Raw genomic sequence first — 12,927 nt, 5'->3', positions numbered from 1 at the left:
CATAGTATCACAGGGCAAAGTAATAGGGAGAAATGTGAGCACATTGAAAAAATAATAGACGTGGTTAATCCAGGGGGACTGCTAAGCTAAAAGAACAACTAACTAATAGCAACAAATTTTTCCTACCATACCTCCCCAATACTCATTTAAAAAAAAAAATGAAATAGCCATTGAAATTAGGACACCTGGTGAACAATCCTTTTTTTTTTTTTTTTTTTTTTTTGAGACAAAGTCTCACTCTGTCAACCAGGCAGGCTGGAGTGCAGTGGCGCAATCTCAGATCATTGCAACCTCCACCTCCCAGGTTCAAGCGATTCTCCTGCCTCAACCTCCTGAGTAGCTGGGATTACAGGCACCCACGACCACACCCAGTTAATTTTTGTATTTTTAGTAGAGAGTGGGGTTTTGCCATATTGGCCAGGCTGATCTCGAACTCCTGACCTCAGGTGATCCACGCTGCTTGGCCTCCCAAAGTGCTGGGATTACAGCCATGAGCCACCACATCCCGCCCCTGGTTAACAATCTTTAAGAATTCCGAAGAAATTTTCCCTAATCAAAACAGGGGCACCAGTCATAGAGAGGCTAAGAGATTTTCCCCACCTGCACTGCATCCCCTGACAGTGGAAATTTCAGTAACCAGAGAGGGAAACACTGCCCCCTCTGTAGCACAAAAACACCACTGCCCAAAAATTATCCTCCCAGCTTAAAATGTAGAAAGTTTTTTCCACAATCAAGGAGGTATTAAGAGGGCCAAGGAGAAACCGCCCACCTTGTTTCTTGACAAATAACTAGCCTGCTGGGTAAATGAAACAAAAAACTCATGAATTTTTTAATAAAATGAATATGTAAAAATATTGACAAATATATAAAATATATGGAAAGGGAAGTAGTGTCTTCAAAAGGTAGAGGAAGTATTTACATGTGGAAATAACTTACTACAGATATGGTAAGAAGAATAGTGGCCCCCAAAGATGTTCACGTTCTCACCTTCAGAACCTTTGGTAGGATACCTCACATGGTGAAAGGGACTTTGCAGACATGTTTAAGATTAAGGTCTACTTGAAATGGGGAGGTCGTCCTGCACTGTCCAGTTGTGGCCAATCTAATCACAACATGATTAAAAGCAGAGGCCCTTTCCTGGCTGCAGAGAACAACTGCTGGCCCCATAAGACCTCAGTCTTCCCTTGCTGGCTTTGAAGATGGAGAAAGGCATCACCAGCCAAGGAATGCAGGTGGCCTCTAGAAGCTGGAAAAGGAAAGGAAACACACTCTCCCCACAGAGCCTCCAGAAGAAACACAACCCCAAAACCCTGGTCTTCGCCCAGTGAGATTCATGTCAAACTTCTAACCTAAAAAGCTGTACAATTTTTTTTAAAAAAAGTACCTGTTCCTGTTGAAGCCACTACATTTTTTGTAGTTTGTTACTGCAGCAATAGACAACTAACATACAAGGGAAAAAGAATGTCCTAAAGTAAGTACAAATCCCGACATCTGAATAGGAATAGACTAAAACCTATTTATACTCTACTGAAATAGTTGAATTGCAAGGAAAAAGAAAAAGTGCCAAGAAAAGAAAAGATTACCAGATAATTCTATGGCCTTTCTCTAGCCTCAGGGGCACCTGAAAATTTGACCTTGAGTCATATTCTCCTTAAAACTGAGAACCAAAATCATTTACCCACACATAGCTTACTGTCTACATTAACATGACTATTATTCCCCAACCTTCATCAGCATAACCTTACTGCTCTGGGAAGACAGAAATTACAAATAAATATATTGTTCATTTCAGGAATATCCCATCAACTCTTCAATAGAAAGCATCAACCCATCTTTGAGCCAAGATTCTTTGAATCCCTCTTCTCACCCTTTTTCAAAATCCTTGCCTTACAGTGTCCACCAATCTTAAACCATTACTTGGTGATCCTTACCCAACCCTAATCAATGCCCCCACATTAAAATATCTGCCTTTAAGCCAGGCTTTAAGGTCTCAATAAATATCCCCACTTTGCCCTCTGCCCTTTGAGACACTAGTAAGACTCTGTCCCATTCTTTCTCCTTTGTCAAGTAAATTAGTTTCCTACTACTGCTGGAATCATCACAAATTTTGTAGGTTAAGACAACACAAATTTATTATCTTATAGTTCTGAAGGTCAGTAGTCTAAAATGGGTCCCACTGGGCAAAATTCAAGGTGTCAGTAGGGCTGCATTCCTTTTGGAAGCTCTATACAAGATCTCTTCCCTTGCCTTTTCTAGCTTCTAGAGGTCACCTGCATTCCTTCACTCATGGTACCTCCCTCCACCTTCAAAGCCAAAAATTGCATCACTCTGACTTCTGCATCCATTCAGTCCCATTTTTTTCTCTGGCTCTGATTCTCTTATCTAATTCTTTCACTTATAAGGACTCTTGTGATTACCCCGCACCCAATCTGATAATCAAGGTTAATCTCCCCATCTTAAAGTCTCTAATCACATCTTCAAAGTCCCCTTACCATGTAAAGTAACATCTTCACAGGATTGCGATGTGGACATTTTGGAGGTCCATTATTCTGCCTACCATGCCAACATGAGCAATAAACCCAACTGTGTCTTAGAAACAGGTTGTTCTTGTGATGTTCCAGAAAGCCAGGATTTGACACAACACTAAGTAAAGGAATTATAAGAAGCATGTTTATACCAGATTCAAGATAAATAAAAATCCAGCAGAGGCCCATGTATCTAACCAAATCTTTGTATGTAATTGTTATGATTGTCCATCAAATAACGAGTATCAGGTATTGATGAGATGCACCTGCATTGGAGATTGGGAGGGAGCCACATACCCCTGAGAATACAAGATGACTAACTACACATACACAAGCACACACACACAACCTACACAACTAGCTAAGCATGAAATCTGAAGGAAGCCCAAGGCTGATAGTATTCCTAGGCTGAGATGGATATGTCCCACTCAACCTAATCTCTCATGACCACATAATTCCATAGTGAGGAGTTACTAGGACAAAGTAAGCTGTGCCTGGGAGTCCAGACTCTCACTAAGCCCTTTCTATGTGTGCTGTTTTGTTGCCTTCTCTGTATTCTTTCTTATGGATAAGTAAATTTACTTCTGGATAAAGCCTAACCTGTGTGTTTGATTGCCAATCTTAACTCACTGCTCATTGTTGCATAGAATGACACTTGCATGCTACACTGAAGATTATTTTTAAACATGTATGTGTCTCTGTGTGGTGTGTGTGTGTATGTGTCTCTGTGTGTGTGCATAAATAAACCCATTGTACATATATGTATACAAAAAAATCATTCTTGGCTCATATTTCTTCTGCAACACTACATGCTAGAGGAAATGAGTACTGCTTAGATCTTGAAAGAAGAGGGGATTATAATCTAATAAACCTATATCCAACCAAGTTTTTGCTCATGAGCAAATGTAGCATGTATGCTCAGACATACAAAAGCTCAGACAACATACTACCTTATCTTTATTGAAAATAAGGACTTGGTCCAGTCTATCACTGTTGGACATTTGGGTTGGTTCCAAGTCTGGATTAAGAAAATGTGGCACATATACACCATGGAATACTATGCAGCCATAAAAAATGATGAGTTCATGTCCTTTGTAGGGATATGGATGAAATTGGAAATCATCATTCTCAGTAAATTATCGCAAGGACAAAAAACCAAACACCGCATATTCTCACTTATAGGTGGGAATTGAACAATGAGAACACATGGACACAGGAAGGGGAACATCACACTCTAGGGACTGTTGTGGGGTCGGGGGAAGGGGGAGGGATGGCATTAGGAGATATACCTAATGCTAAATGACGAGTTAATGGGTGCAGCACACCAGCATGGCACATGTATACATATGTAACTAACCTGCACACTGTGCACGTGTACCCTAAAACTTAAAGTATAATAATAATAAAATAAAAAAAATAAATAAAAAATAATAAGAAAATAAGGACTTGGCCCAGGTGCAGTGGTTCACACCTGTAATCCCAGCACTCTGGGAGGCCGAAGCAGGTGGTTTGCTTAAGCTCAGGAGTTCAAGACCAGCCTGGGCTACATGGCAAGACCCCATCTCTACTAAAAATACATAAAAATTGCTGGGCATGGTGGTGCACACCTGTGGTCCCAGCTACGTGGGAGGCTGAGGTGGGAGGATCACTTGAGCCTGGGAGGTCAAGGCTGCAGTGAGCCTAGATCAAGTCACTGCACTCCATCCTGGGTGACAGAGCGAGACCCTGTCTTAAAAATAGAAAAAAAAAAAAAAAAAGAAAGAAAAGAAGGACTTGAAGACACACTTCAGCTGCCCCCAAATCAAACAGAAAAGCAATATAAAAAGACTAAAATAAAACCCAGTTAAACAAGCTTACATCTAAATGACTATCTAAAAATATGGTTACTATATTAATATAAACATTAAAAAATAATTCTTTAGGGAGACAGTACACATTATCAAATTTTGATGTCATCACCTAGCTCTAAAATGAACTTAAAAAGAGATGTACAAGGGAGGAAAAAGGTGGAACAAAATGTTAATGTTTTCAACTTACATCGATATAGTAATATTATTTAATTCTTGAAAACTGAAAGGCAGTACTTAGTATTGTGCCAAATAAATGCAAACTCTCTAGAATATCACTAGAACAATGGGTCTCTAAAACAGAGTTGAGTTTATTGCTTATGTTGGTGTGATAGGCAGAATAATGGCCCTCCAAAGATGCCCATATTCTAATCCCTGCAACCTGTGAAGATGTTATTTTACACAGTAAAGGAACTTTGAAGATGTGATTAGGAAATTTGAGATGAGGAGACTATCCTGGATCATCAGGTTGGGTGCAGGGTAATGACAAAGGTCCTTATAAGTGAAAGAAGGAGATAAGAAGTCAGAGCCAAAGGAGGAGATGGGATGTAATGGAAAAGGAGGTAAGAGGCATGCAATTTTTGGCTTTGAACGTGGAGGGAGGTACCATGAGCCAAGGAATGGAGGAAATCTGGGTTTACATTCTGGTTGCGTGGATTCTGAAAAAACTGATGTAAATTTTTTATTTAACCTCTTTATGACTCAGTTTTCTCATCTTTAAAAGGCACATAAAAACATCATTACCTATCTCATGCAGTGGTTGCTATAATTTAGTTGTATAATGTATGTGAAGAGCATCTGTTATGTAGGAAACAATAAATGTTAGCTGTTAATGGAGAAGTATAAGTTCAAATATATTATCTTTAAGTAGTAAAAAGAAAGCACTAGTAAAGTTATAAACCCTGAGGATGAAAAAATGAAAGAAATGATGGTCCACATTGCATAAGAAAAAAAGAAAAAGAGACAACAGCGGTGAGGCATGGAAAATAGCATGAAACCAAAATGACAAGTAACAGTAAAAACTGTTTAAGTATAAACAGGCTAGTCAGCCTTAATAATGACAAAAATTTGGATTACTTTTTAAAATCCCACAGCATGTTGTATATAAGAGGCACTTTTAAAGGAGAGAAAGGAAAAAAAATGTGTATGAGAAATGCTCTTAAATTATCTCTTTATTTTGTTTGCCTCTGTTCAAACATTTTAAAGGAGAAATATTGAAACTAAAAGCATAAGCAAACATAAATTAAAGCAAGCATGGCAATAGTAATATACAATGAAGCCATATTCAAGATCAAGTGCATTAAATGGGATTTTAAGATCTTATTTTGATAAAGGGCACAATTCACAATGAACATATAAAACTCATAAATCTTAAGAATCAAATAATATGGGATTCAAATATATAACACAAAAAACAGCAGAAAGAGAAAAAATTCTTCTCGGAGTGGGAGATTTTAAGACAGCACCTCGGTCTTGAATAAATCAATGGCATAAAAATAATAATATAAAGTATTTGAACAATATTGTTTTTGTAGACACATGTCAAACTTTGTCTTTCCAGAGAATATTTTTTAATTTTTTCTCAAATATTCATGGAACTGTAGCAATAATTGATCATACATAGAGCTATTAAAAACTCATTAGATTATTCCCCCAAAAAAGCAGAAATTATACAAATCACATTTTCTGACAATTAAATGAAATTAGACTTAAATAAAAATGGTTTTCGAAACAGCAAAAATAAAATAACCACTAGAGAATAGAAAATAGCCTCTTAAAAGAAGCTTACTGGAAAAAAATTCATAGGTTACAAAAATCAATATTAAATTATTAACTAAAGCCCTGATATAAGAAGTAGACATCTGGGTATCCCACGAGAGATGGCACAGAAGAAGAATGGAAATGTCTCCATCAGAATATCAGTCACGTTTCTAAGTCATCCTGGAAAAGGAAAATTCCAGCTCCTTAGTTAAGAAGGTATGGATAGTGCTGGATTCAGATTATAGTCTCTGTGATCATAAACAAATTATTTTTAAGATTTTTATAAACATTTGAGTGACAGCTGCTCTCAGTATTCTTTATTATCAAAATCTAGACTAAATGTAGCCTGCCTCACAATTACTATCAAGATTCCAAGGCTCTAAAGCCAGAAAGGGAAACTTGGTTGCAGCATTTCCCAAAATATATCCCGTAGTGTGTAAGTGCTGTGGTGTGAACAAGGAGGTGGAGAAGGCAGGAAATTCATAGCCAAAGTGCTTAGAAAATGTTGAGTTAAAGAAAATGAAAATATTTCTGTGGATGCAGGATTCTTCAGATTCTTTAATATTTCAATATGCATTGTGAACTGTTAGAAGAAAAACTAGCACCAGTGCTTCATAAATTTAGATGACCATTAAACTTTTCTTCTCTAAACCTCTCAAGAGACTGAAATGCTATTGAATATGTTTTGGGAAACACTGTCTTGCTGAATTATTTCTATGAGCTCACTCTCTCTCTCTCTTTCTTATTAAATCTGTTTGTTTCACATTTTATTATGACCACATGGGTCCTTGCCAGTGGTGAAGCTTTCTCAACTAAAGCCCAAACATAAACTCAGACACCTATAGTCAATTGATTTTTGACAGAGGTGCCAAAAACATGCAATGGGGAAAGGACAGTTTCTTCAATAAATGGTGTTGGGAAAACTGAATAACCACATGTGGAAGAATGAGAATTGATCCCTTATATAAGAATCAACTCAAAATGGATTAAAGACCTAAGCATAAAACCTGAAACTGTAAAGCTATGAGATGAAAACATAAGGAAAAACCTTCATGACATTAGTCTGGGAAGCGATTTCTTAACTATGACCCCAAGAGCACAGACAAACAAAGCAAAAGTAGACAATAGGATTCCACCAAACTAAAAGGCATCTGCATAGCAAAGGAAACAATTCACAGAGCAAAGAGACAACCCACAAATTGGGAGAAAATATTTGCAAATCATACATCAGATAAGGGGCTAATATCTAAAATATACAAGGAACACCAACTACACAGTAACAAGAAAACAAACAACCTTATAAAAATGGGCAAATGGCCTGAATAGGCATTTCTGAACAGAAGACATACAAATGGCCAACAGATACATAAAAAAATATGTTCAACATCTCTAATCATCAGAGACATGCAAAATAAAACCACAATGAGATACCACTTCACACTTGTTAGATTGGTTATTATCAAAAAGATGAATGATAGCAAGTGCTGGTGAGGATCTGGAACCCTGAACACCATTGGTGGGAATGTAAATTAGTGCAGCTATTTTGGAAAACAGTATGAAGTTTCCTCAAAAAATTAAAAATAGAATTACCATACAATCCAGCCATCTCACTTCTGGGTATATATCCAAAGGAACTGAAATCAGTACATCAAAGAGATATCTGTATACACCCCTATGTTCAGTGCAGCATTATTCACAGGAGCCAAGATATGGAAACGACCACAGTGCGCATTGATGGAGTTTTATATATATATATACACACACAAACACACACACACATATATATACACACACACATATATATATACATACATACACAATGGATTACTATTCAGTCTTAAAAAGCAGGAAATTCTGTCATTTGCAACAACATGGATGACCCTGAAGGACATATGCCAAGTGAAATGCTGGGCGCAGAGAGACAAATAACCACCTGATCTCACTTATACATGAAATATAAAAAAGTCAAACTCATAGAAACAGAGAGTAGAATGGTGGTGACCAGGGCCTGGAGGAGCGGGAACAAGGGGGAGGAATGGAGAGATGTTGGAGAAAGGGTACAAAATTTCAATTAGACAAGAGGAATAACGTCTGGTCATCTATTGCATAGTATAGTAATCATAGCTTATAATAATACACAGAATTATTCCAAAATCCCTAAAAGAGTAATTTTAAGTGTTCTCACCACAAAGAAATGATAAATATGTGAGGTGATAGATACGTTTATTGGTCTGGTTTGATCGATCTGCAACATATTCATTTATCAACACACCCCATTGTACCCTATAAATATAAGCAAGTATTATTTGTCAATTAAAAATGAAACTTTTATAAATAAATTAAAAATAAATAATAAACACAATCTGTAAAAAAAAAGAAAAAGAAAAAAGAGAGAAGGGGGAACAAATAAATGAAAAACAAAAAGCAGTAGTCGTCATTCTGTGATATTACAATTAAGCCATAGCCCTTTGGTGCCTGATATCAAACTTTAAAAAAAAATAAAATCTAGATTTTATAAATCAGATATGCGGAAGCAGGTTAGGCAGAAGGTTGGTCTATAGAAGCCACCAAGCAGTATTAGCTATGAGAGACAAAAAGTCAAAAAGTATCATAGGGCACATGAGCACTGTCCTTCAAAATAGTGTTGGCTGGACAGGCTCCCAAGCAGCAAATGTTGGACGAGGCAAAGCCTGAAAGTTTTCTTCTCTCATGGGTTATCTTTTAATTTGTTATTATTATTATTACATTTTCCACAATAATATTACAAATCAACAAATGCCTAATATTCTCTTAGCTTAAGCTCACTGTATTAGTCCATTCTCATGCTGCTAATAAAGACATACCCGAGACTGGGTCATGTGTAAAGGAAAGAGGTTTAATCGACTCACAGTTCCACGTGGCTGGAGAGGCCTCGCAATCACGGCAGAAGGTGAAAGAACAGCAAAGGCACGTCTTACATGGTGGCAGGCAAGAGGGCATGTGCAAGGGAATTCCTCTTTATAAAATGATCAGATCTCATGAGACTTATTCACTATCATGAGAACAGCATGGGAAAGACCTGCCCCCGTGACTCAATTAATTCCCACGACACGTAAGAATTATGGGACCTAAAATTCAAGATGAGATTTGGGTGGGGACACAGCCAAACCATATTACTCATTTTCTGTAAACTGCAATTTTTCATGGATCCATCTCCCTGCACCCCTCAATGAAATCTCCCTCCTGCTGGACCTGCCATCAGGTCCAGCAAGTATTTAACACTTCTACTTTTAGGGGATTATTTTGACTTCAGTCATATAAAAGATTGCTAGAAGTAAACCAAGTATAAATTTCTGTTGGATTTCCTTTTGCAAAAATGGTTTTGTCCTGTTCTCCTAAAAATGATCTCCCATCTCTGGTCCAGAAAAGTTATGCCTAATTGGATATTGTGGGGATCATTGATGAGAAAAGTAGGACCTCTGAATGCATGTGCCAACTGACTGTAATTACAGCCCTGTGGAAGCCACAGGGGTGGGTTTCTTTATAAAAATGTGAATGAGTTTAAGGCAATTGTAGAAACCCCCAGAGAGACTGACTTCTTAAAAGAAAATCCTGTCTGTGAACAATATCAAGCTGATAACCTTAGCCTGCAGCCTCATCCTGTGTCTCTCCACAGGAGTCCTCAGTCTCCCTTTCCTTTATCAACTACTCCCTTAAAACTTTGATAAAAGACTTCCTTGACCTCAGCAGGGTAACCTGCTGATGGCTACTGATAAAGTGAGAAGCACTATGCACTCAAAAACCATTCATTTTCTATTGTTACCCCCTAAACTGCTGCACTCTCTGTTCCCCTAATTTAGAAGAAAGCCCACTCCTAAGGAGATGGCCTACTTTATTTGTCTACTGCCTAGATCTCAGTTGTCACTTAAATACACTCATCAGAGAATCAAAGACTTCTTATCACAAGAGAAGAACAAATAACACCCTTAAGCTAAATAAAAGGTACAAGAATATGCTACAGGCATGTTCTGATGAGCTTCCTCAAACTGTCCCAGTCTGCCAATATTATGCTCCCCAAGTTAAAGGGACTTAACTTTAAAAATGTGAGAAATGATTAGTCTCTAGATATCTACTCACAGATTTGTCAATTATAAAGAAAGGATGGTTTAATATTCCTTGTCCATTAAAAATAAGCAAAGCTATATTATGATGATTTGGAAAAAAGAGTAAGAAAAAAATAATCATAATCAATTACCCCAAGAAAACCATCAGTAGCCTTTGTAATTTTTGAGGAGGGGTCTTCCATTTGTTTTTTTTTTTTTATTTTAATTTTAGTATGAATTATGGAACGGGTATCTTCCAATCAGTCCAACAGAGAAAATAATCGCACATCATCATAAAAAACAATAAATGCTTTAATGGTTACCATCTAGTATTGCTTACAAGATGTAGACACTTTGCTAAAACTTTCCAATTAGCAATTATTTAATCTTCGAAATAGCCTATGTAGTCACTGCTTTTTTGTTTCCAATTTTACAGATGAGAAAACCGAGGCTAAGAGAAGTTAAATAGCTTGCCTGTGGATACACAGCAAGGAAACACAACACCTAGACTAAAATCTAGGCCTGTCTGACCTCAAAGCTTTCTTTCTTTGTGCCCAAGACCCTGGAATTCAGATGTCCTTGTTGTCAAAGACTGTACCATTCATGCACATATTGGCTTCTTCAGAATGGCTTTCCATGTTCGCCTCTTCAACATCAAGAACCTTTATTGGGGTCTGTCATTTGTTTGGCCTATACAAGGATGGATCTCTGTCTACTGATTACTTGACAGTGCTGATTTATGGCCTGCTCATTGCATCTTCGATATGCCACATGTAAGTCAACATTTCCCACTGGACACTTCTTAAACTCTTCATTTATTCTGAGTCTTTTATAAAATATTGTGCATGTGGCATTCTAATTCCTTTTCTTTTCTTTCTTTCTTTCTTCTTCTTTCTTCCCTCTCTTTCTTCCACCTCCCCCCACCTCCCCATCCCACCCCTGTCTCTGGAGATAACAGTATTCACATCTTTCACAGTGGGTATATGTGTCTGGTAAAAATTCTGCTCTATCCTTTAAGATCCTTAAGCTCCCCCAATACATGGACTCTGCTAATGACCGCTTTTGTTGTCTCTTGTCATTTCATACAGTTATAAGTTCTCAGTGAGATCCCAATTTTTTACCTCCTAAAATATTCATCAGAAACTCTCTTGGGGCCCCATTTTCAACCAATACTACTGGCTACCTAGGGGCTATTTATAACATAATTCTAATACTGTAACGATTATTGCTAACACTTTAACAATCATTACAATTACTGATAACTTGATACGGCTGATTAAAATAGAGCTTTTTTGTTTGCTTCAGAATTACAATAGTATATTTCTTTCTTTTAGCTATATTTGAATGCTATAAAACGAACGATTATCCAACAGACTTGCTGGCAAGCATCTGGAAGATATCCATTTGAAAGAACCAAATACTAATTTCCTTATTATAAGAGAATAAAAAAATTTTGAGAGTTTCAAAATTGTAGTCACGTTGAAAAACATTCAACATACAAGTCCTATGCTATAAAAATGTCTGTAATTACTAAATGTAATCCATATTATAGGAGACTCGCAAATTATGAATTCCACATGGAAACGTATTTTCTACCCCTCAGCATAACCCCCAAGTAACATACAGTTAATTCTCCCCTTGGGGTATCATTCGCATTTAATTTATCACTGATCTGTTGGAAGAAAAACCGTTTCTCCTCAGGACATGTCCAAAAACAAAAATGACTGGTTAGCATTACAGAATGTACTCATTTTGTCCATGATGGGAGGAAGTTTTTTTTAAGAGAAGTCACAGAGTCAATTATTGTCTTAAACCTAGAGAGGACAAAGACCATGAGTTATTGGAAATGTAAAACCTAAAATTGAGAATACACATTTGTCACTTTTAAGTAACAAATTGTCTTTCTAACCCTGTTTTGTTCATTTAGGAGAAATAAGTTATCCCTCTTTCTCATTAACTCTCCACAAACTTCCCTGGAGGAAGACATTCACAGTCAGTAGGCTCAAAAGTAACAATAAAAAGTCGTAAGTAGTTATAACTTATTGTAATTAATAGTAACAGTAATAGTTATTAATATTGTTAACAGTAACAAGCCAATAAGCATCAATTAACAAGGCCTCTCTTTCCCTCTCAGTGAAACTTAGTGACTGGTGGAGAGAGGGGGGTCCTCTTTTTTGTGTGTTTTGTTTCCCTTTAACATGAAATCTTCTCCTCATTGACCCCCCACCCAGTGGTTCTTAGAGTTATTTATCAATTGCAAATTTTAGACCCTGTATTCTTATCTGAAACTGTGCCCAGAAGGTAAGCAGGCCCAGAGGCACAAGGTAAACAACTAGGTACCATCAAGTCAAGGCCAGGTTGAAAGGGGTACACAATTTGAATCAGTGTGTAGGCACCTAGCAAGAATCCATTGGAGCATCTTGGGGTAAGAATTAGACCATGTTTGGAAAGAGATATTATCCCTCAGCTGAACCACATCCACGGCACTCAGCATTAAAGATAAAAACTGTGGGCTGGTGGTTTGAATTCAAACATTAGAGATGTCTGTATCATCACACAATGATGACTACATGGACTCATAAAACGACTGCATGTTTTAGCAGCTTGTGAATGTAATGGCAAGCAATGACACTAATCTGACCCCAGGGCAGAAATTCTGAATTTCTTCTACACTTTTCTACAGGGGAGTAGAAAGACCACAGGAATACACCT

The 12,927-nt window shown here is 37.3% G+C and overlaps 1 protein-coding gene across 10 annotated transcripts in view; it reads right to left on the bottom strand.

Annotated features, from left to right (window-relative positions):
• AGBL1 (AGBL carboxypeptidase 1) overlaps positions 1–12,927 on the bottom strand; it is a 951,857-nt gene that overhangs the window by 736,851 nt on the left and 202,079 nt on the right. The window lies entirely within an intron of this gene.

The sequence above is a fragment of the Homo sapiens genome, chromosome 15 (genome assembly GCF_000001405.40).
Source record: "Homo sapiens chromosome 15, GRCh38.p14 Primary Assembly".
NCBI lineage: Eukaryota > Metazoa > Chordata > Mammalia > Primates > Hominidae > Homo > Homo sapiens.
Note: the sequence above shows the minus strand (reverse complement) of the source record. Positions and strands in the feature narration are given on the sequence as shown.